General features: G+C 37.1%; 1 protein-coding gene across 10 annotated transcripts in view, besides 1 other annotated feature; it reads right to left on the reverse strand.

Annotated features, from left to right (window-relative positions):
- COL12A1 (collagen type XII alpha 1 chain) overlaps positions 1-25,026 on the reverse strand; it is a 121,728-nt gene that overhangs the window by 47,403 nt on the left and 49,299 nt on the right. For 6 of the 10 annotated variants that reach the window (XM_011535435.2, NM_001424115.1, NM_001424113.1 and 3 more), the window contains 21 exons: positions 24,529-24,795; positions 23,934-24,126; positions 22,688-22,809; positions 20,605-20,754; positions 20,403-20,522; positions 20,139-20,303; positions 19,413-19,559; positions 16,630-16,769; positions 15,947-16,076; positions 14,374-14,516; positions 13,598-13,727; positions 11,524-11,660; positions 10,304-10,433; positions 7,094-7,233; positions 6,720-6,852; positions 6,592-6,612; positions 5,709-5,851; positions 2,998-3,127; positions 2,130-2,269; positions 1,565-1,694; positions 212-354 (listed from right to left, as the gene is read on the reverse strand). In XM_011535435.2, the coding sequence (XP_011533737.1) occupies positions 212-354; positions 1,565-1,694; positions 2,130-2,269; positions 2,998-3,127; positions 5,709-5,851; positions 6,592-6,612; positions 6,720-6,852; positions 7,094-7,233; positions 10,304-10,433; positions 11,524-11,660; positions 13,598-13,727; positions 14,374-14,516; positions 15,947-16,076; positions 16,630-16,769; positions 19,413-19,559; positions 20,139-20,303; positions 20,403-20,522; positions 20,605-20,754; positions 22,688-22,809; positions 23,934-24,126; positions 24,529-24,795 (2,954 nt within the window). The remainder of the gene's footprint in view (positions 1-211; positions 355-1,564; positions 1,695-2,129; positions 2,270-2,997; positions 3,128-5,708; positions 5,852-6,591; positions 6,613-6,719; positions 6,853-7,093; positions 7,234-10,303; positions 10,434-11,523; positions 11,661-13,597; positions 13,728-14,373; positions 14,517-15,946; positions 16,077-16,629; positions 16,770-19,412; positions 19,560-20,138; positions 20,304-20,402; positions 20,523-20,604; positions 20,755-22,687; positions 22,810-23,933; positions 24,127-24,528; positions 24,796-25,026) is intronic. The other 4 variants (NM_001424116.1, NM_080645.3, XM_047418186.1 and 1 more) reach the window with 2 other exon arrangements.
- Positions 15,908-15,957: an enhancer, noted in NCBI's record as "active region_24756". NCBI's record gives its function as "activates an Ori minimal core promoter by ATAC-STARR-seq in GM12878 lymphoblastoid cells {active_cell/tissue: GM12878}" and the evidence as "EXISTENCE:reporter gene assay evidence [ECO:0000049][PMID:35858748]".

Below are 25,026 nucleotides of genomic sequence, written 5' to 3' on the forward strand. Positions count from 1 at the left end.
TAACTCATCCAGCTAATTCACATTTTCCCAAAATTCTTTTTATTCTTACTAACCCTATAATTAATACACCTACCTCAAGTCATCAAAAACAATAATTTAAGTATTATACACTGGCATGTTTGTGGTTTGTGTTCTCCCAGGCTATCAAACGTGACACAAACATGTGACTACATTCACCAGGAAATGCAGTTTCCATGACAAAATTACTTACAGATTCTGAGGGTCTTGTGCCATCCACAGGAGAATACACAACGCGATATTGCAGCACAGGTCCTGGAGCAGGGTCCCAGCGAACATCGAGGCTGTTAGGTGTAGGATTGTATACTTGGACATTTCTTGCCAGTCCTCTCATCACTGAGGAAATGAAGGCCAACATCTATTTTTTAAGTCTGTTTATATATCTCAAGCTTTTGTATCACTTTTCCAGAACCTACATTCTGTAACAGGATAAAATGCTATCTTCTTTATACTTCTAATTACCTACACACAAAGGCAGATTAAAACTCTCCAAACCCAAATTTAGTTAAAGTTAGCAAGTATGGCCTTTGTCTATAAGGAAGCAACATTGTATTCAATTAAAAACAAGCTAATAAACGTGGTGGAACTGGATTGGCCATAAAGGGTCATGGGATAGAGAAAAGAAATAGGAAAAGTAGTTTCAGTTTTCTAACATAAGTAATGGAGAGAGGAAGAAGAGACATTTTTTAAGAGTCTGCCTTCTAAGTAAAATCTGACAACAGCTATTGAGCTCATCTGATTCAGTCAGCTAGTTTCAACCATTCATTACTTCTTCATTTAACAAATTGCTACTCAATAACTTTGTGATTAATAGAAAAGGTAAAAGGAGAGAAAAATAAGATATACCCAGTTCTTAATTAACTGCCCCAATAGGAACTTAGAAAAACCTACCAATTAAATTGATGTACTAATTCCAAACTCTAATTTAACCAATAACATCATCTTCCTAGACCACTAATCCCTAACCAAAAGAAGACATTCATGCTTGGTTCCTTTTAACTATCAGCAAGTATATTTTTAAAGCCAAAGAAATATTTCTAAATCTGCACAAAAGCCTTTAAGCAATACTACAAAAAACAGTAAAACCACATAAACTGCTTCCTAAATGAAAGCATACAGATTTTAAGATCAAAAAAGCACTTCAACAAACAAACCAAAGACATATGAAATTAAGTAATGTGCCGAACAGATTTCAACAATTCGCACTATGAAAGCCAATTGTAAAGTCCTTCACAACAATTTATAAAGCAGAAAGCAAAGCTCAATGAATTTTTGTCAGTGAAAGAGATTAAGCAAAGTAGTATACTGATGATTATATGTACCTTTACAAATCTTGAAATTATTTCAAAAGAAGATGCCATTATAAATTTGTTATTTCACACAAAATGTTAACATTTGGTGTTAGGAAGGTAAACTATGGCTAATTTTTATGTTTTTAATTCTATCACACCAAACTTTCCTAATTCTCTTTAATGGGCCTTTATGGTCTTTATAATGAAAAGCAACACTTATGATGAAAAATTAATTTTTTGGCTTTATTACTTACATGTCCTTCCAGTATCTGATGTGCGTCCCCCATCACCTTCAGTATAAACGGGAACTACAGTCACAGTGTATGAGGTATCTGGCTGCAGATTCCTAAGAATGGCATAATTGGTATTCCCGGGGATTGGTACCTAAAGATTTTAATAAAACAAAAAGCATTGACTTGAAAAATTTGTGAAAGAAATAATAATTCAAATAACACAATACCAACTCAAGACCAAGTCAAGAAGTAGGTTCTGTAATATTAGGATGTCATAATAAGCCCCCACATGACCTGTTACAAGAGGTTACATATTTCCCTATACCCCTCCAGCCATCCAATACTCCCCACTTAGAACTTCCCAGAACGGCCGCTTCTTCCCCTGGCCAGGGGGAAGAATCCTGGCCACAATCCCTCTGTTACCCAGGCTCTAAGGCATCAACTATTTACCCTCTATAAAGTCTTATTAAATGAATATGAAATTCTTCAGCTCTAAAGCAAACTGGTTAACTCCTTCAGTTCCACTTTTAAATCACTCAGCTACCATTTAAACAAACTAGCATTTTTTACTACAAGAAATAATTACCAGTTCCTCTGGACCACCTGCTGCTGGTGCATAGAAGAGCTTGTACTGACGAGGATTTCCCTCTGCATGGTCCCAGCGGACATTCAAGGTGCTGGTAGAAGGGTCATACACTCTCAGGTTCCTTACAGTGTTTAGAGGTTCTGAAATGCACAGAAATCCCATCACAGTATAATGCTAACAATCAAGCACACATGAAACACAGATTCACTGATATCTCCCAGGCACCCTAGAACATAGCAGGCACCGCACAAACATTTGTTGAAGTAGTGAATAAACGACACACACTGTGTCCGCGTCAGCCTGATGCATATGTCTCATCTATCCACAAGACATTTTGGTCTTAGAGCACCTTTCTATCCTAGAAAGTAACATCTTTCTCCACAAACAGAGACAAGTAATTCCAAGCAAGGATGTTAAAAACGATCAATATGGCCAGGCACGGTGGATCATGCCTGTAATCTCAGCATTTTGGGAGCCCAAGGCAGGTGGATCACTTGAGGTCAGGAGTTCAAGACCAGCCTGGCCAACATGGTGAAACCCCATCTGTACCAAAAATATAAAAAATTAGCCGGGTGTGGTGGTGTGCACCTGTAATCCCAGCTATTCGGGAGCCTGAGACAGGAGAATCGCTTGAACCCGGGAGGCAGAGGATGCAGTGAGCCAAGATCGTGCCACTGCACTCCAGCCTGGGCAATAGAGCAAGACTCCATCTCAAAAAAAAAGAAAAGAAAAAACTATTAATATTATTTCTAAATGAATTTTTAAATATTAGTAAAACTTTGTGTCACCCCAGTGTTTCCAGATAAAGAGATGATTCCATTCTAATAGTAGCTATTAAAGAAGCTATAGGAACTCAGGTTTCACTTACTGGTCTTGCCTCTTCCCGTCATCCGACCTCCTTCACCATCAGGATACAGAGAGGATACGGTGATAGTGTAAGGAGTGTCTGGCTTCAGTTTCTGCAGGACCACACTGTTCTGCCGTCCTCCTATTGTGGTCTTGAGTAAAAAGGGTCTTGGTAAGTGTCAGCCTTGCTCTCTCCATCTCACTAATCTGTTAGAAAAAGCTCTTTCTACAGGGAAGCTGTTTGAGACCCTTGTCAAGTTCCAGAATTACATACCACAGTCAAGGTTTAACATACACCTTGTGGTATAACTTCAAATGTAAAATATGCACCTCAAATCATAAAAAGGATTCCAAGCTTTAAACTGGTGACCCCAAAAAGATATTTCAACTTGCTAGCCGCCAGCACTGCAAAATTTCATCCAAAACACATTTCACAGAACTCTTCAAAAAAAAAGGGGGCGGGGGGGACTAATCATAAGTGAGCTACAAAGGGACTTTAAGATATGAAACAATTGCATAATTTTAGAGGCTCCACACCACTTAATATTATTCTTACCTTTTTAACAGATGTTTTTATTTGCTTTAGAAACACATTAAAATGATTCAGCATACAGTATAAAGCTCTTGGTGTTTCCCCCAAGAACACTGTCACTCTAACAGCCTTAGCTGTGTTAACGACATGACCAGACCTTTTGCCAGGCCACACTCAATCAGGGGTTTCCAGTTGTCTCCATGATACCAGCCCCGTGGTATGAAGCTTTTCAATTTACTCTAATTATGGAGCTTAAAGTTTTTATTCGTTACTTAAGGCCATCTAGCTATCTTGTTGAAAGAAAATTTGTACAATTTATTAACAGTCTACCGAATTCAGATGTTTATGTCATACTAATTAAAATCGCATGAAAATGGCACACTGCCCAAAATGAGTGCACATGTAGATGGCTGGATGTGCTAGAACAAACCAGATGTTTCCAACTTAGCACTCATCCACTCAAGTAGTCTGAATTCCAGAGAAAAACCCAGTGAATCACGGTCATCATCCTCAATACGGACAAACTGAACTACCGTGGCTAATTTTAATAAATTTCATATTTGAGGTTATGAGAGAAAAGTATCAATACCAGTATAAGCCATTTTGATAAAAACTTAATACATAACAAATCTGAAAGCCTATTTAGGAGAACTGCTTTTATGAGTAAGCAGAGGGGCATCTACCTACCTCTCCCATCCAGCTCCCCAAAATAATTCTAGCATCAGTTATTCATCATTTTCATGATTTCACGGACTAGTGTTAAAATCCAAGTACCCCAAAGACTAACAAAGCTTAAGGGCTTCATACTTTCCAGAAGATAAGTTTACGAGACTCTTTATGATAGCAAACAGCTGAAAGACAGTAAAAGAGACTTAGGAGAAGCAGCTGGAACATCAATGCCCCCAAGATGGGAAATGCTAAGAACAAGCTTCTCCTGATTTGTAGTTTTACCGAAATCTGGCATGCCACAGAAAAAAAAGAAGTTCTGTTTCTGAAGTTAATATATCAGTCCATCTAATTTGTCTTATTTTCATATAAATGTCTATTGATTACAGTTGATATTAAGTTTATTAATTATAATCTATTTACCTAAAACAGACAAATTCTCAGTCCAAATGCATCACACTACCTAAGACTGGAGCTATAAAAGCCTCAAAAGACCAACTCAAAGTCACACTAGAGATGGGAAGGTTTCTGATTCAGCTAAGCTTACTTACTGGGTAGTATCAGAGATCTTTAACCACACACCTTAGATTAATGCCAACCCCTACCTTGGCTAATACCTCTAAACTGATAAGAGAAATGACCCATTTGCTTGAGCTCGGCAAGTCAGATGATTAAAGGTTAATAACACATGTGTCTCTAAGGCTATATAAGAAAATATTCTAGCCAAAAAAGTCAATAAAACTCTGTACCTCACCAAAACTGGAGATTTATTTTGAAATGAATCAGAAAACATAATCATACCTATGTAAAAATCATGAGGCTTCCTGACCTAGGATAATACATGCAGTTCTAATTACATAGTTCACAAAAGGCAAAGTTGTAGAAAGCCCAAAACCAGACAACTAAAGTAAGGGAGGTAAAATGGACAAAGGTTCTATTAAATAGGGAAAGACTAGGAAGAGAAAGAGGATGAAGACTGAGTTTCGAGTCCTACCATCTTTCTTGGGGACCTCCATTTGGATAATAGAAAAATGAAAAACAGTGTAAATTAGGTTAACAGGCTCCCACATCTAGAAACACCAGATCTAGAAGACACCCTATGACATGCAAAAAACAGGGGGAAATGAGATAAATAGAAAATAAACATTATAGGTAAGTTTAGCAAACTTTCAGCAGTTGATTAAGTTAGAGAGAGGAATGGAAGGTCAACATAGACTCAAAAACTATCTGGATATCGTCATGGATAATCCAGCACTAATAGTTTTTAAAGGAACTATGGATGCATTGAAGCACATGCCTCATGCTTTGGGGCTGTAATGAAGAACAACTATCATCTCTCATGAGAACATCCATTGAGTCTCCATGATGGCAATCCACGTGGAGTGCCAGCTAAAGAGTCAGATTATTCCATCCAATGCGATAAATCTTAATATCCCTTAAAAAGTAAGTATGACTAACTAAGCACTGAGGGGGAAAAAGAGTTTGAAGAGAAATGGTAGAATTAATCCAAGTTATAATTTTTATTAAAAAATTACCGTTTGCTCATTGCCTTCCCCTGTGGAAGGCTGATAAGTGATCCTATATTTCTGCACACGACCACTAGCAGGATCCCACTTAACAGTCAGGCTGTTAGATGTTGCATTGTACACTTGAAGGTTTCGTGGGCCACTTTTGGGAGCTGAAAGAAGATTGTTGAAAAACTGAGTAAGCAGACAGAACAATGCCTCCCCCTAAAATATATACAGCTCCCAAGGCAATCAGAGAATTCTATGCCTCTGGGTTTATAATTAAATTCGTTCCCTTAATAAAAATGGTTATTGATTCTTAAATGACTCCTTAGTATGGACTTTCATTTTGCTTCTGTCCCTGCAAACGTGACATGTTGAAGTTCCAACTTCCAATATGATGGTATTGAGAGATGGGGCCTTTGGGTGGTAATTAGGGTTAGATTAGGTCATGAGGGTGGGGCTGCCATAATGGGATTAGTCTTTGTAAGAAGAGACATGAGAGAGTTTATTCTCTCTCTCTCTCCTCCACGTGAGAGAGTGAGAAAATGAGAGAGACCGAGAAAGGGGCTGGCTAGCTATAAGCTGGGAGGAAAGCCACCACCCAGAAACGAATTGAATAGCACCTTGGTCTTGGACTTCTCAGCCTCCAGAATTGTGAGAATATAAATTTCTGTTATTTATGCCATCCAGTCTAATCTTTTGTTATGGCACCCCAAGCTGATCAATACACTCCAAAACAAGTAGTAGCAAAGCAAAGTTTTTCAAGAAAAGCCTATGTAAAAGAGTTCTCAATGAACATCTTAGGATTTAAAAGCAGATGACCTATTTATTATGTATCTTATGGTACTTTTCATTTATACATTCATTCATTATTTGTTCATTCAAACAATTCATCAAATTAAATTCTTACCTTGTGTTGTTAAGATAGGCACTAAAAGAAAACAGAATTTGGGAACACATTACTAATATAGCTGTAGCCCTATTTTTTAAAAATTAACTTTAAAATATCAATGTCCTATTTGAAAGCTAAACACCTACGTGTGCGCTCACTGCCAATCAGGTCATCACTTTCTGACTCATCAGGATAGATGGCAGTAATGGAAACTTCATAGATGGTGTTGGGGTTCAGGTTTTCGAACACCAAAGTGTTTTCATCTCCATTTAAGATGGTCTTGGAGAAAGAGGACAAAAACATACCCACGCAAAAGTAAGTCTCCACTTACATCATACACACTCAATGGCAGTTTATTCACATTATTTAGCCAGATGTTCCTCCTGCTCTGATGCATGTCATGAGCTCAAATGTCAATAAATGCTTATTGACAACAAGAGTAATACTTCTTTGAACTAAGCTTCCCTACAAATTAAATGGGACATGAAAGACAGAGAGAAAGATAAAGAGAGTTAACTACCTCCATCTTATCTGAGCTTCCAAAAGGTGCCCAAGTTATTCTGTAGAGAGACACATCTGAAGCTCCATGATCCCAAGTCCCTCTGAAACCCTCTGATGTTACTTCAGTAATCTTTAAGTTTGTTGGGGCTGGCACGGGTCCTATCATGAGAAAAGGCAAGCAGACTAAGTTTTTGAATGTGAGCTGCAAATGCAATTTAATATAATAAAAACTGCCTTGTTTTATATTAATGGACATCTGAAAACTGATTGAATACATTGCTTAGAACCAAATATTTCACCAATTCCTAGAGCTCTGGAAACTGCAAGCATTCTGTGGATATAATAGGTTATTAAGGATATTCTATTTAAATGATTATTTTTTTAAGATACCATTTAGTACCTTTCTCCAACTTTTTAAGAATCAAATCAACACTATGGACTCTTTCACACAGCAATACACAATACACAAAGCACAAACTTGGCCACATATCAGAGAGTTAATGGACCTTCTCCAGTCTATCAATAACCCCAAAGACACACATAGACTCTGGGTTAAGAAGTCCTTATTAACCGAGAATGTCATAAACTAGGTATGCTAATATATTATACATTAAAGATGATGCTCAAGGAAATAGTTATTCATTTATTGTTCATAATTTGTTGTTCTGATACCCAAAGGAAACAGTTTCATTTTTATTTTTTAAAAACACACATACCACTGCAGTTTAAAAATGAGAATGTCTGCCTAGCTGTAAACAACACTAAAAGTATTGCACTCTGACAATTGATTAGAACATACATACATACTGCTACACATACAGTGAATTCCAATCTAGGAATATTGCCACAGGAAAGGAACTCTGAGCATGTTACGATCCAGGTAACCCACACATAGCTTCTTCCTATAGATCACTAACCTTAAACATGATATGAAGCAGAACATGCTGACCCTGTTCAGAGAACTGAACACCTGGAGACCCAAATGACTGCTGAAATCCCCTTTCACAACCCCTCCATTGACCAGGTCCTCTGGCTGTTTTGCAGCACAAGCATTTTTTTATGTCTGCCACCATTCCTGAGCTTTCATTGTCACTTATTTCTCTATTTTCTGGTAACCAAAGCTAATTACACAAACCCCAGAGCCATTAAAAATTTGTTCTAATAATTACAATGAAAAGGCCCATTGAGATAAAGAGAGTGGTACTATTTCCACCAGCAAAACTGCAAAACAAAGCAGCATTAAGAATGTACTTTAAATGTATCTGAAAATTATTTGGAAATCTTAAGGGAAAATATATATTAAAAATATTAATCTACTATACTGAATTACCTGTCTCACTAGCCTTTCTTCCTGACTTCCTTTTCTGTTCACTACACCTGTTACGTTATTTTTATGCAAAGCTGTCGTCTACTGATGCATATGCATCAATTCTCAGCTCCAGCCATGACCCTTACAAGGTAAGAACTTAAGCCAGGAAAATAAATGAAATTGCTAAGAGATCTCACATGGTAAGAAAATAGCAGAGTCAAAAAGGGAGAAGTGGTTATGTCTGAAGTTAAGAAGCAGGTTATGGCCAGGCACTGTGGCTCACGCCTGTAATCCCAGCACTTTGGGAGACCGAGGCGGGCGGATCACGAGGTCAGGAGATCCAGACCATCCTGGCTAACACGGTGAAACCCCGTCTCTACTAAAAACACAAAAAATTAGCCGGGCATTGTGGTCGGCACCTGTAGTCCCAGCTACTCCGGAGGCTGAGGCAGGATAATGGCGTGAACCTGGGAGGCGGAGCTTTCAGTGAGCCGAGATCGTGCCACTGCACTGCAGCCTGGGTGACAGAGCGAGACTCTGTCTCAAAAAAAAAAAAAAAAAAAAAAAGCAGGTTATAACATTTGACAAGATGCCCTAATTAGGTATAGGCAGCTGGGCACTAAAGAACATGCCATTGAGCCTTTGGTGAGGAATTTTCTGGAAAGGAGGAAAAGGTTCCAGACTATAGTATCAGTCCCATCAATAGGTTACTGGATGTGGCTGGGCAAGTTGCTTAAATTTCTAGACCTGTGCTGTCCATAATGGAAACCACTAGCCACATGTAGTTGGCTATTGAACACTTAAAATGTGGCTAGTCTGAATTGAGATGTGCTCTAAGTGTAAAATACACACTGGATTTTGAAGAACTGTTACAGAAAAAAGGTAAAATGTCTCGTTAATAATTATTGTACTGATAGCTGTTGAAATTATAATGGATATATTTGGATATACTGGGTTAAATAAAACATTATCAAAATTAATTTCATCCATCTATTTTTGCCTTTTTTAATGTGGACACCAGAAAATGTAAAACTACATATAAAACTCCCATTATTTTTGTTTGGAACACTGCTGGCTCTAGGCCTCAATGTTTTTTTTACTACTATTTGCTTTATGTAATGGGCTGAGCACTGGATTAAGTTATTATGTGCCAGGCACTGGAGACACAAAGTTGAGCAAAATGTCTCTTCCTTCATTAGGAGAGAGCAAGGGGGAAGTAGAATCCATAGCAAAAGACCAACAGGCAATAATGACTGTGTTAAATACTATGGAGAAACCATGAGAGGGAGAGGAACTGACATCTCCAGGAGCTGCAGCAGACGGAGCAGGAAGCAGGGTCTGGGCAGGCTGCCCGGTATCCCCCAGCACTCCACTTACAGTGCAGTCGCCCCTTCCTCTGAAATCTGACAGCACACAATTTCAGTGCCACCTGACCTACCTTACATGATCCCATGTATTCTCAGTTAATTTTTTCTTATCTCCACAACTAAATCATGAACTGGTGAGGGCAAAGATGCTTATATTTTGTTACCCTTGATAACACTTCACGTATAGTAAAATACCCCAAAAAATTATAAATAATGCATCTTTTCCAAAGCAAATGTGCAACATACGTCAAGAAAACTTGCCCACCCCACTACACATACATGCACACACATACACAGGTGCACATCAAGTAGTTGTAGTTGGAAGATAAATTAATGACAGTGGCTGATGGAAAGTATCATAAAAGGAATGGATGCAAAGATAGAAGATGGGACACCTTGTTACAAAAAAATAAGTGAAAAACAATCTATGAATCCAAGCATTATTAAACACTGGCAAAGGTAGCATTAAGAAACAAAATGACCCAGTAAATTGTGTTACACATGCATGTAAAGTGTTGTTTCCCATTATCAGTGGAGCAGGAGCACAACTCACGGGTAGTTTCTTGAGCAGTCACTGGAGGAGACTCCCCCTCGTCATGTACTGCAGAAACGCTGACTGTGTACAAGGTCTGTGAGAAGAGGTCTTTGAGGGAAGTGCTGGTCTCTGATCTGTCCACCTCTACCTATAACAGTAACAGAGCAGTGGAACTACTTTTACAAAGGGTTTACTTTTGACATCTCTCTGTTGTTTACTGTACCTGTCAGCGTAAGAATATAAAATTGTGATCAGAAAAGAGCAGTGTTTTCCAATATACATGAGAATCCAGAAACTGGACACAGTTTAAATATTTCCAAACTGGAAAAAAAATGTATGTACTAGATCATATGGCACATGACTCTCTAGAAAATAATTACTGCCTATGTATTCAAAAAACCTAACCATTTTTCCACCTGTTTCCCTTTATATCACTGCATTATTTCTTTCAGCAATGGTCTCTTACGCACAGCATTACTTCATTTGCTATGCACAAGAATCTTGTGAGATCCACTGGCCATTGTACCCCTTTTAAATGGAAATGCAGAATGAAATAAATGTGTGCACATGTATAAAGTAGCTTTTGTATAATCCACAAATGACCAGCAGAACCAGTCACTGAGTGCTTAGAGAAATGACTCCTATGTTCCAAAAATGCCTCTGAGATTCTGACATTAATACTCCCTCAAGCACACACAAGTTTTGCTGGTTCATGAAGCCCTTCTAATTTGCTCTAACTTTGAATCCGGTCATCACGGAACTCCCAAAAGAACACTCCCAAAAGGACACCCCTCTAACAACATACTTCTCCTTTCTCTGTGTCCTTCTCTAGTGTCCTATCTTCCTGTTATCTGACAAACTGCTCCTCTTCATTGCTGCAACCTCTTGCTACCTTTTATTTTTAGAAACATGACATTTTCTAGTAATTCTTAGAATAGAAAGCCATATAAGGAATCTGGATGGGAAGGAAATACCATTTAGATTTGATAACTTTTTATCTACCAAGGGATGATCTTTTTGAGATTAATATCACACAGCAAAACATTTCTGTTTTGACAAGACAGTCCAATATATCATTGATTTTCAAAAACTGCTTTATTAATATCACAAGTTTTCAACACTGTGTTAACAAAGTGACAAGTATTCAAAACATGCTATCATCCATACTTGATAAAGTTCTTTTTTTAAACCTACTAGGAAAACAAATATTTTCATATCTACTATCATCTTCAACCTACCTCTTTGACATCCTCTTCTGGTGTTTTGTATCGAACAATATATTTACGCACTTTTCCAGGCACAGGTTCCCAAAAGACATTCATAGTGCTGTGAGTCACATCTCTGAGTTTCAGATCCTGAGGTCTGGGTAAAGGCACTAGAGAAGCACGAGATATTAAATCCAGATGTGCTTCTCAACCACAAAGCTCCAAAGCATCCATGCAAGCTTTCAAGAAGTTGTTTGGAGAAAATTTAAAGGTGTTTGGCAAAATAACTGAAAAAAATGATTATGATGATAAAAGTACCATGATTCTACCAGATAGACTGAATTCTTCTTAAGAAGGTTTTTCAAAAATAGAATATATTTAATTTTTTGTTATCACAAGGCTAACTTCTCAATTATATATTACTCTTCTTCCACATTATTTAAATAATCTCTTGCTGCTCAACCCCATAATAAATCATAATTCATCATAAATGTACAGCTCATGTTTCTTTATCAGATATTTAACTCAAGACAGAAAACAAAATCAATAGAGTTATGCACCCTCAAGAACGTGACAGAAAAAAATAGTTACAGAGTGAAGAATGAAGATGAGCCCAACATTAAGCATCCAATAAGCTTATAAGAAAACCCAGACACCTAAATTGTTAGAAGAAAATCCAAATGGTAAATGTTTACCAAATCTAACATAACTTTCCATTATAAAAGGGGGAAGGAGGATACGGAATGAGGAGATTTTCTCCTGTAATATGAGATGTATTTCACTCTTTCCAGCTGCCCATTTGACTAGTTTAACTTGTCTCTCATTCTGACTCTTTACATCTGTCTTCCTAACTCTCTAGCTCCACTTCCACATTTCTGCGCCTCCATCTCTTCAACATTTTTATCTTGTGTATCTCTCTCTGCCCTCCATTCCTCTACTGTTCCAGTCCAGCACCATACCCAAGTTTGTGACCATATTTGTTTTTAATCTCACTGTGACTTTGGGTCTCCTCTCTCAGCACTTTCAGAACATGAGTCTCTATCCCTGGCTGACTCCCCATTCCTTCCATCTGCCACTATCCCATTTTCACAAAACCACCAGCCCCAGACAAGATCTAACATATAAAGGAGGATTAATAAATATTTGTTTGTTGTCAATTAATTTACACTAACCCATCCTGTAGGGGATCTTTCTCTTCTCTGCCCCATCATGCTCTGTTTCCTTAGTCCCTTTTTCCTCCTTGAAGTGCCTTCAAAACTCTTCATTTTCTCAGAAGTGTGGGCCAAGACTCATTAAATTTAAGCCAGCTCATCTATCCCAGCATGTCAATCTCCCCAAGCATGAAGCAAAATACCAGCTGGGTAAGGCAAGAGGCAGTAAGTGGGTAAATGCAATCATTGTCACGCTTCAAGAAAAAAGCACCTAAATGCTTAGTAAAACAAGTCAGAAGTACACAAAAGGCTGACCAACACACACAAGAGAAATGCAAACCAGGAAGGAGTCCATATGGTCTATACTGCTTTGTATAATTTCACAGTGGTATTCCCAACATCTAGCCCAGTGACTGGCATATAATAGGGGATCAATATATCTTTGCATTGGGTAAATTGATTAATTCACTTAACTGAAACAGACTTAATCATATGTGCCACAGAGTTTCTACATCAACAAGAACTTGGAGCACCTTGATATTAAACCCAATGTCTTCCTCCAAAATTACACTCACTCAACATTCCCATTCTCATCAATGCTATATGTCATATTTCATGGATCTAGGATAACATCATTCATAAGATGCACCATTGTCTTATGCTGTACATTCTGATTGGCACCTAGCCAAGAGCAATAATAGTAAGACACCATTGATTGTAAAACACTTCAATTTCAGGCATGTTCAATGTGAAAAAAATACACATCCTCGAATGAATTTGAGATGCCTCCATAAATCTAGAATTGAGACATTTATTCTCAAATTTGATTGTCAAAAGTAATAACTGTGACTTTGTATATAAATTATCAAATTATTGTTAGCATCACATGAAATAAATTCTAATGAACATTATGCTCACAGCAATAAGAAGGGAAATAAAACTAAGCAGTAGCTTACAGGTGACTTCCCGAACAGTGACAGGTTCACTAGTGAGGTCGTGCAGGACAGCCTGGACTGTGACTGCATACTCCGTGTTGGGAACAAGGTCAGTCAGCTGCATGTCATTCACTGTTGGCCCCAAACGCACCTGCACATGGATATGTGGAGCAGAAATAAGATATTCAAATCAAACTTTTCCATTTACCTTTGGAATAGTCAACTGAAGTTTATTTGTACTAGATTATAATACAGCTTGTATTTTTCATTTATAAGATTACATCTCCTTTTCCATGCTGATGTTTTCTTTTTTTTTTTTTTTTTGGTTTGTTTTGTTTTGTTTTTGAGACAGAGTCTCACTCAGTCACCCAGGCTGGAGTGCAGTGGCTCAATCTCAACTCACCGCAACTTCCACCTCCCGGGTTCAAGCAATTCTCCTGTCTCAGCCTCCTGAGTGGCTGGGACTACAGGTACTTGCCACCACACCCGACTAATTTTTGTATTTTTAGTAGAAACGGTGTTTCACCATATTGGTCGGGCTAGTCTCGAACTCCTGACTTCAGGTGATCTGCCCACCTCCGCCTCCCAAAGTGCTGAGATTACACAGGCGTCAGTCACCGTGGGCAGTCCATGCCAATGTTTTCTACAATGTGTTGCAGACCACAAACCTACTTTTCTATTTTTCCATTTTGTACGTAAAGTTATAAATGAGTTTGTAAGTAACTGCAGTATAATAGGCACTATAAAGCTATAAAGTCTTGGGAAGACCCAATGTTAAAGAAACAAACATCTTTCACCTCTTTGGGTCTTGTTGGCTCTGTGTCCTTAACAGGTTTGTATGACAAGATGTAGCCAGTAGCTCCTCCCACAGGCTGCCACTGCACATGCATGGTGGTAGGGCCAACATCATAAATATTCAGGCTGACTACAGGCACTGGCACTTCCAAAACAGAAAAGCAGACCATCAGTCTAGTTCCTTTCATTCCACTCATTTTTAACCATTGTTTTGTACTCAATTATTGATATTTGTATATACTAGACAGTGGGTTACTGTGAGAAATCAATAAGAGTTAATATAATCCTTCCCATTGCCCCAAAAAATCCAATTTACATTGCTCATTGCACTTCATATTCAAGACTGCACGTTACCACTATCTTGTAGAAGGAAAATGTTAAAGTTCAGGTGTCAAATGGCATTCCAGTGAGTCTCTACAATAGATACCAACTTCCTGATACGTTACTCTCTTTTTCTGGAACATCACTAAGTTGACTATTTCTATTCTTCAATCACAGAACTTTATATATATGTAATCAACACTATTTTTTATATTTCTTCAAAAAATAAATTTAAAATAAGAACACTATACATTAATAACTGGAACATCAGGGATTTATAGGCTTCTTGAAGATAAACCCATGAAGCAGAGGAAAAAGTTTACAATCTCCCTATAACACCCATATTGCTTCCAATTATTTTTTGTTCAAAGATTGAGTTCAAAGTTTTAAGAAATTATCATATTAATCCTGCCAGTTATAAAATACATTATTTCTCACCTCCTATAGTCTAATATAAAGGGATATAAGAGAAGAGATAAGGATCTAAAACTTGAGCAGTACATAAAGTCAGTTCTTGCTCTAGAGAGTGATGCGCACTCCTTCTTCTTAAAAGTGGCTTTCCTTCTTCTCCCTAGAGCCCAACCAAGAAGCAAGAAGTAGGAAAGAATAATTTCATATGTCTCTGGAAGCATTACCAGGAATAGGAGCAAGGAACATCTACCCCAAAAGCGCTACTCAAAGCCAAAGCACTTAGAGTTTCTCTAGCAAAGACCAGATGCCAGAAAGAAAAGAGAAGATCTCACTGGCAGCCGGGAGCGCTGGCCGTTAGTAAAAGTGAAATCGGTATCTCTGTACGCTCTTCTTCCTGATCTTAGTCCCACTCCCCACATGGTATCCTTCCTCATATCTTACTCCTGATGTGCTTTATTCCTCAATAAAATGTCAACATATAACAACAGAGTAAAATGTAAAATTATCCCCCTGAAAGGTATATTTGCATTTTAGGAGATTTTCTTGAAAGCAAAAGTCTAAAGACTCTAAGAAGTGAATAACTCCATTAAAGGTTGTTTTCCCTCTAGATTATTATGGCAGTGACCCCCTATTCCACAGTGGAGCTCCATGATGGCAGAATCAGCCAGCAGGAGTAGAAAACCACTGAGTATTTTCTGGGCACCTGCACAAAGATGACACTCAGTAAATATTTATAGAATGAATGTTAAATAAAGAAATTATTTGGAAGGTAGGCAAAAATGGGCCATCATGCTTTATCTTGGAAAAGAAAGCAATGAGAAACAATTTTTTAATCTGACTCACAGGTTTTTTCTGTCCCCTTCAGAGGCTCACTATATTCATCTTCTACCACAGAATACACATTGACAACATATTCAGTTTCAGGTTTCAGATCTTTCAGCACTGTGCTAGTTTCCATTCGACTCACATAAAACTAGGGGGAAAAATTAAACAGAGCAACAACGTATGTATAATCAGTTCCCTTTTTCCTACTATACTTACAAAGTAGTTAACTGCAGTGAGCTTAGAATCTATATTTCAATTAGGCCATTGTCTTTTGTATTTGGAAACTATCAGATTACAATGAGATCTTGGACAATTCATATAATTTTTCTCCCAGCTGTTATTTATTTGTAAAATGAATGGGTAAAAATAGATCATCTTCAATGTTCCTTGCTAACTCTCTGATTCTACTACAAATTCATAAATAAATCAAGCATCTTCTAATTAGATTTTAATGAAAAAAACATAGTGATATTCTACAATTCTTAGAAACCGTAAGAATTTAAGCAAAGCTCTTTCCCTTTAATTAAAGCCAGACGGAAATGCCTGCCTAGCAAAGTCAAGAATAGAAAGCACTATTCTTGACTCATTTCTGGCCCCTCTTCATCCCTCTTGCCCCTCACCTAACATTATTCTCAGAGTCCTAATGAGGAGGACCCAATCTCAACATCAGGAAGAAGTAAGTTATAGGTGTTCCTACTCACTTCTTGACGTTTCCCTCCAGAAACTGGATAGTATTCCACCTTATATCGATCCACACTGTCAGAAGGTGGTGTCCAGCTCACTCTAAAAGAACGATGGGTTCGCTCAGAAATAACTAAGTTAGAAGGTGCTTCCAAATCACCTACACATGGAAATAAAGGGTATACACTTTTCTCATTATTGTAGAAAGGTGACAATATTTGAAATGACATTGAAACAATATTATGCTCCATATTCTAAGCTTTCACACACTTCTTTTCACATACTAAGTAGCTACAATAAATCTGTATTAGAGGCTCATCACCTGTAAGACCGTTATGAATAGGTAACTAAAAGGTTTTCTAGCCTCAAAAGATTAAAACATGAGCTCATTGTCTTTCCTTAAAACCTGATCCTCCTCTTCCTTACAAACTTTACCAATTTACAAGTCACTGAGACTCAAGACCCGATATGGTTTTGCTGTGTCCCCACCTGAATCTCATCTTGAATTGTAGCTCCCATAAGTCCCAAGTGTTGTGGGAGGGACCCACAGGGAGATAATTGAAACATGGGGGTGGTTTCCCCCATACTACTCTAGTGGTAGTAAATGTCTCACGAGGTCTAATGCTTTTATAAGGGTTTACTCTTTCACTTGGCTCTCATTCTCTCTCTTGCCTGCCACCATGTAAGACCTCCCTTGCTCTTCCTCCATGATTGTGAGGCCTCCCCAGCCACATGGAACTGTGAGTCAATCAAACCTCTTTCCTTTATAAATTACCCAGTCTTGGGTAGGTCTTTATTAGCAGCATGAGAACAGACTAAGACCTCTGAATCACCTTTTGATACTTTCTCCTCTCTCTACCCTTGTACATATAATCAGTAAATAAGAATTTAGGTCCTGACAATTTAGCTTCTCCATTGTCCCTATCACTATTGGCACCACACAACTTCCCTGCCCTCATTATCATTTTGTTTCTATATACTCATGTCTTCTCTCCTTAACTAAAGGTTATGCTCTGTGAGGACAGAATTGATTTTTCATTCATTCTATTCTCTAACAGGATCTAGTTGCATAACAAAGGAAGCTGACAATGTATCACTGGAGAGAGTGCAAAGAAACACATGTTTTTCAATCTGGGAACAACCTACCGCCTGTGATTGTGCTCCCTGTGGGTGGATATAGGTGAAATGACTAATACATAACAGTGTCTGGAATAAATGCTGATGAAAATGGAAATATTAAGCTCAATATGTCTAACAGGAAAATGGCCCAAATAATAATTAAAAGAGAAAGGGATTAATCCAATAACTCCATAAGCATGGCAAATCATTCTCGTATAAACTCTTTCTACTTTTTGTGCAAGCCAAAACTGGGGAAAGCCTTTCCATTCTTAGTATCTTAACTTTTATTGTACTTGGGTAAGAGTCAAACCTACAAAATTATCAAGCAATTTTACTGTCTGGGAAACTAGAATGAATGCAACTATTACATAGTTCATTTTTTAAAAAAAGCAAAACAGATAAAAGATGTTTTCATCCCACTCAAAGTTCTCTCCAATGGAATAAAACTACAACTCTCTCAGCTAATCAAGAGCCAGAAGCCTACAAATTCTGGCTGCCAGGCTGGTCTATTTCTCCAGGGAAAAGGTCAATCTGTTGTTCAAAATTCAAAAAAGAAAATCTGCAAAAGTTAGGAGAAAGAAAGCCAAGAGGGAACATTCAAATAAACATACCCCTAGCACCCAGAGCAAGTGAACCATTTCTACCACATTGTTTCTTAAACTTATTCCAACTTTTCCAAAACCAAATTAAATTAATGAAGGACAATTTTACCATAATCTACATGTACTTAAATAAAATTTTTCTCACATAATAAGAGCCATAATTTTTATCATTAATTTTCAAAAAACCTTCAAATTTGGTGATTACCATGTTTTGTCCCATGATTTGCACAGAGAGTAATCATTATGCACCATCCTTTTTTGGTATAAATCCAGTTCTATAATTTTATTTCAATATCCTAATTCCTTAGCTATATCTACTTTTTTAATACCCCTAAAAACATCTTTAAACATTTGACCCAGACCAAGTAATTTTTCTCCAGATCTCAGTTTCTTCACTGGTAAAAAGAGGTTATATAATTTCTAAATGTCTAAACTGTAAAATTGTAGCTTCTCTTTATATTTAGGGATTATAAGTGTAAAGTTTCAAATCTGATCATCTACAGTTGAGGCAAAGCAAATCAGATATAAAGACTGCTCTTTCATTCCTGCTCACACTAGGAAATTTAAAAAAGGTACCAAAACTGAGGAAAACAAGAGTCTGGGAACAACCATCCAATAGCAATGTAGTAACTAAATGGAGTGAAGATGCTTTAAGACAATAGGTATATACCAGAAAAGAAAGCATCTCTCCTTCCCTCTCTTCCTACCCCTTCCCATTTATATATATGTTGTGTGGGGGAGGGTGCAGGTATGCAGGATATAAACTAAATATATCCTCAAATAAGCTAGAAGTCATTGAGGTGCCATCACGAGAAACAAATCAGAAAAAAAAATCAGTGACTAATGCAGTGATTCTCAACTGGGGACAGTTTTTTTCTGCAGCAGACATTTGGCAACAACCGAAGATCTTTTTAATTGCCACAATTTAGGGGATGCTACTGACATCCAACCGGCAGAGGCCTTTCACACTGCTAAACATTTCATAGTGCACAAAATAGTGCCCTCCCCCCCACCCAAAAGAATAATTATTTGGCCCAAAATACCAGCAGTGCTGAGGGAGAGAAACTCTGGGTTAAACTTACCTGGACCTTTGACACTGTTACACAAATTAATGGTGAGATCATCCACTATCCTGGAGAGTGACTCAAAATCTGCCACATTGTATGCATGGGTATCATCAGGATCAGTTGCAATCATCTTTAATTCGACTTCATCAGCATTTTTAATACCTTCAAAAACGGATATATACAAATTAAAAGCACTTCTCAGAAAAAAATTAATGGAATGAAGCAAATGATTTACGGCTTTCTTAATTCATGGCTGCTTTTGGCCAACTATGAAGGTTTAATAATTAGTTAACTAAAACATACATATTATTTTTCTCAATAATAAAACAGAAACAAAGGATAATACAAACTGAAAGCTCTTTTAAATTGGCTTCTTCTAAATGTATATAGCACCAATTTCCCGCCAAAAAGACTCTCTTCAGTGTTTTTTCTGGAATGTAAAATAATGGATATCAAAAATAAACACGGTTCTGTGGAAAACCAAGTAGGAGTTTTTATGAATCCTATTAATACCACATTTTTCTTCTTGATCTATTAATTTTCGTTTAAGAAACCATGTAGTTTTGTCCCCAAAAAAAGAAGAAAAAAGTGAATTAACTTCCTGGAACATTATTTTGATAAATTATGTGATAGAAAAAAATGGGTATTTTTTTTCATGCTTCAGATAAAACTTCTAACTACGAAAAATATCCTCAGCACATTTGTAACCCCAGGGGCATCACTGTCCTTTTCAGTGCGTACCAATAGCAAACAGCTCCACTCCCTCATCCTTGAGTTTCTTTGAAGGTGCTTCAACATCGTCTTGTGATTTTCCATCAGTAATGAGCACACCAATTTTTCGAGCTCGAGGTCTCATGCCAGCTTGGGTCCTGAAGTTCTGTTGGCGAATGAAATTCAAAGCCATGCCTAGTGGGATTTTTAAAAGAGAATCAGTCACATCACCATTCAGCCACAAACCTTAACCAGAAGCATGAGCTGAAAGACTGTCAGACAGTCCTTACTCACCTGTGAGAGTATTGCCTCCTTTGTACGGCAAGTTTGCCACAGCTTGCAACAAGCTCTTCTTGTCTCTGTGTGCATTTAACTGCCACTCTGTTCTGGGATCCCCACTATACTGAGCAAGAGCTAAAATGACACCACTGGCATTAGTGCATGTGAAAGAGAAAGATAAAAATGTCTAAATGGCTCCAATGTTGTCAGAACCTACCAATTTGTACTCTTTTGGGGCCAATGTCAAAGACTTCCACAATACGAGAAATGAAACTCCTCACGGTTCTAAAATTTGCCCGGCCGATGCTCCATGATCCATCCACCAGCAACACAATGTCTGCCTCAGCTCTGGTGAGACACTCCATCCCTGACATGGCAATCATGAGACAAGACAGTAAGAAGCAAATTGTTGGCAAGGGTACTTCCTTGTCACACCTCTACCACTCCCTGGATCCTCAGTGTTGCCTGTCTCAGTACTATGGTCTAGCTCAGTGATGTGGAGTATAAGACTCTGAAAATATGTCCATCTGATTTATTAACCTCAATTAACAGTCTTAAGAGTCAGCAGTTCCTCCAAAGATTATTTCAGTGGCCAATCTTTCCTTTATCTTTGACTCGATTTCCTGCCCTCTTTCATAGAACCTGGAGACTTGAATTAAGCCATTGTTGAAAATTTGATGGGCTCACAAATTCAAAGGCTGAAATAAATAAATGAGAATGTATAGCTGTCTAACTATGAAGTACTAATAACTTTAATAAAATTGTAATGTAGTCAAATCATTAGATATTGCATTCTTCTGCAATATTTAATGGTCATAGCAGACAAGAATGAGATGGACTGATAAAATATGTAAACTAAAAAAAGGTTTTTGTGAGCCAAAAATTATCTTTTCAAATAGCTAAGCTGTTAGGTAACTACCACATATATATGAAGGATTAGACACATAACTTTTAAAATTATACCTTTTTGAGGTAAAGATATATTTTTTAAACCCTGATATATTATTATCTAGCTATTAATCATTTAAATTTATGATCTACTGTGAATAAAAATCATGTAAATATAGATGGTGAAGTTTGCACATTTAAAGAATCAAGAAAGAAGGAAGACAATTTAGAAAAGTATGCAAACAAATATACAAATTGAGAGCTGTAAAGATAAGCACAAACATTGATACATAGGAAAAGCTTTGGAAAGAGAAAATAATCCCAACATCCTCAGTGTACAAGCTACAAAATAAAAATATAAGTCAGTTAATATCATCATAAGAGAAACAATAGAACATTAATGCAAAACAGCAAGATTTGACACTTGATTTTGTCCACATCCATTTTTTTAATGTTCTCCTTTCCAAAAGCTTATATTACCAGCTATAAATTTTCCAGTTTATTACAAGGTTAGCATTTGGTCTTTATATTACAAAAGAAATCATTGGAAAAAATTAAATAATGCTCATCACACTACAGAATACAAATGTGTCACTCATATATTATATACTATATCAGGATTAAGGATTCCCAAATACTATCCCAAGGAAATAAGCCCTTACAAGCCTGCTCCTGCTCTGCCCAGATCTACTCTTTTTTAGCAATAATGAAAACTATCAGAAGTAAACTCTGTCCACCACCTCCGTCTCTAAGAATGTTAAAAACTAGCTTTATGTTCATAAAGGCTGTAATTGTGGCAGGGACAGAAAATCTAAGGGGCTTATGTTACCATTTTCCTTCCCAAGTCATAGTTGCCCACCCATTTATGTAACCTAACACTGCTTACCCAGCCCAAATAAAACATTTCTGCAATTACTTTAACAAAAGAAAACTGCATCTTAGTCATTAAAAATAGAAAACGGTACAATATCTACATTTAGTAAAAACTCTTTAAATAATAGAGCTTAATTATGCAATAATGCATAATTTTAAATTTAATATTTAAATGCATTAATAAATTTAATGCACAATTTTAAATTATGCGTTATTACATAATTTAAAATTACTACATTAATTACATCACTAATAATTATTAATACATTAATAATTATATATTACTCTTAAAAATAGATTTATGTAATAATTTAAGTATGAAATAATGCAATGCTGATAAAAGAAGTATAAAAAAATACTGTCAAAAAGCATGCTTGACTGGATGTTTGAAGAATTTTTTTGCTAAGTATGTAAATTATTGAAATAAATTTTAGTGTAAAATTTGTATCATTGTTTTCCATTGTATGATACCCTAACAGTTCACATTTGAAATAGTTTCCTAAGTTGTTTTCCTCAAGGAATGTAACTCAATTTCTTACCAGAAGATAAAATTGGCATAACAGTTGTGTCGGAAAGGGTTGTCATTTCTTGTCCAACAAGTGGTGAGCTTTCTCCTCCATCAAACATTCCAAAAACATTTACTTTATAGGTGGTACCAGCCCTAAAATGTTAAAGTATATATATAGCCTGTGAGAACCATAGGCTCAAGTGGTAGCACTTTTTTTTTGCTTTGTTAAAGACATTTTTCTTGATTTACAAGCTTACACTATGAAGAGTTTATAGTGTACAACATTATAAGAGAAGAAAAATAATTTCCGCCTCTTTCTCACTTACGCTTACCCTGTGAGGTGTCAAGAGAAACTAGACAGCAATCATTCCAGAGAACACTAGGAATTCACAGCACTGGTTTCTGTCTTGCCTTTCTAGCAGATGCAGAGTCTCTACCCTGCCTTTCAGCATGTCAGGAAGGGTCAGACTCTTTAATCTTACTGTTTCTAAGCAATGGGCTTTAAGAAAATAATTGAAGTGCTGTACCTTGCAAGGTAACATAAGACAATGCCTAACACAATGCCTGACACATAGTAAGCTCAATAAATTTTATACTCCCTACTCTGGTAAAAGTAAATCACAAGCATTTATATAGATTTCAATAGTCTTGAATGAATGATTGAAAAACAAACTTCCCAAAAGACTACACACAGTAGTTCATTCTTTTTACTGTAATGAATGTAGGGTGCTGTTCAAACTGAAACTTCCTTGTTTTTCACTGCACAGCCTGGAGCTGGACCTTTCATGAGCCCAGCCTTGCCCTTTCCTGCCAGCTGGCACCCACAAGGTCCTGCCTTCTTTCTCCTGTATGGCACACTGGAGGGGGATTCACACTCAAGATCTCAGCATGAGTCCCTCAAACCTTGCCAAAAGGTACAGGAACCCCCATGCTTCCACATGGCTACAATTTCGGTGACATTGTGTAATAAGAACATTAATTTCTTAAAAGCAGGGTGTTATTGAAAACACCAATTCTGATCCCTTAAAAACAAACAAAAATTATTAAACATTACAAAAAAATCCTGCTCAGGCCTAAATTCTGTTGCTGACCCCTGAATCCTAACTTCAACTCCAGCAGCACCAAGCATAAGAAAACAGCTTTAGCTGATTTTAAATACTTTGCTGGCAAACAGACATATAAGTGATATTTGTGTAAAGCCTACTAATTTACAAAAGCTATTCAACCTTGTAAACAAATTAATTTCATCCTTTGATACAAACGTAGTTAATTCCTACCTAAGTTCCTCCAAAACAACTGTGTTGTCATAGGGTCCAACCACTAACTCCCCCAGTCTTCTGTCATCCCCCGTAGGGTGGAATGTGACTTTATAACCCTTCACTTCCCCAGGGGCAGGCTCCCAAGTCACTCGGAAGCTTGACATGGTTGGGTCAGATGTTTTGAGGTTTCTAGGAGACTTAAACCGAGAAGCTGTAAAGACAAAAAGATTTTTAAAATATTATCTGTAAGACTAGGCTTTGGGGTTTCTTTTTTATTAGCCCCACAAAAATGCATATCCATAAAAAGGGTTTAAGTCCGGTAGCACAAAATAGCATGTTCCATAGAAGTCCAGATAACAGAGTGCTAGCTAAGTAGAAGTGTAAATAATTCTCACAATTCAGATTAGATTTGCATAAGAACATTAATATGTAGAATCATTTTACCAGGAACTAGATTGGTAAAAATAACATGTTATTTAGACATTGTCTAGTAATTATAATTTAACTTATTACGGAATCAGTTTTAAACATTTACAAATGAAGTAGACATACCAAAGTCATCTTTTAAAACATTACCTTCTCTCCCCCTCAAAATATAATTATTATTTCATACCTGTTGTTCCTGATCCTTGCCTAAGCTTTCCTTCTCCCATCTTGTAAATAGGAAGAACTGTGATGTCATATGTGGTCTGTGGCTGAAGTCGCTTTAACACTGTCGAAGTGACTGTGGGGGGCACCTTAGCAACCATTTGCTTCCCTCTCCCATGAGGGCGATAGACAACACGGTAGTTGACGACTTTCCCTGGTGCTGGTTTCCATGTAACTCTCATTGTGTTTTCTGTTTCTTCATCTACTTTCAGGGTTTTGGAATCTTGAGATACTGGGAGATAAAAGGAAGATTAAACTGTATACCATGTTGAAAAAAAATGTATGTCCACCTCTTCATTTATGTGAAAAGAAACTCTCTGTGGCTTCTTAAATATGTACACTGTTCCATTGCTTAGCATTGTAATCTCTCATAAATTCATGATGGCGTGTGAGCCTAATCTCATCAAGATCTCAGTAAGATGTTTTCGTTTTATCTAGCTAATACTAAAAAATGGAAGTTCAT

Source organism: Homo sapiens, chromosome 6 (genome assembly GCF_000001405.40).
Source record: "Homo sapiens chromosome 6, GRCh38.p14 Primary Assembly".
Lineage (NCBI taxonomy): Eukaryota > Metazoa > Chordata > Mammalia > Primates > Hominidae > Homo > Homo sapiens.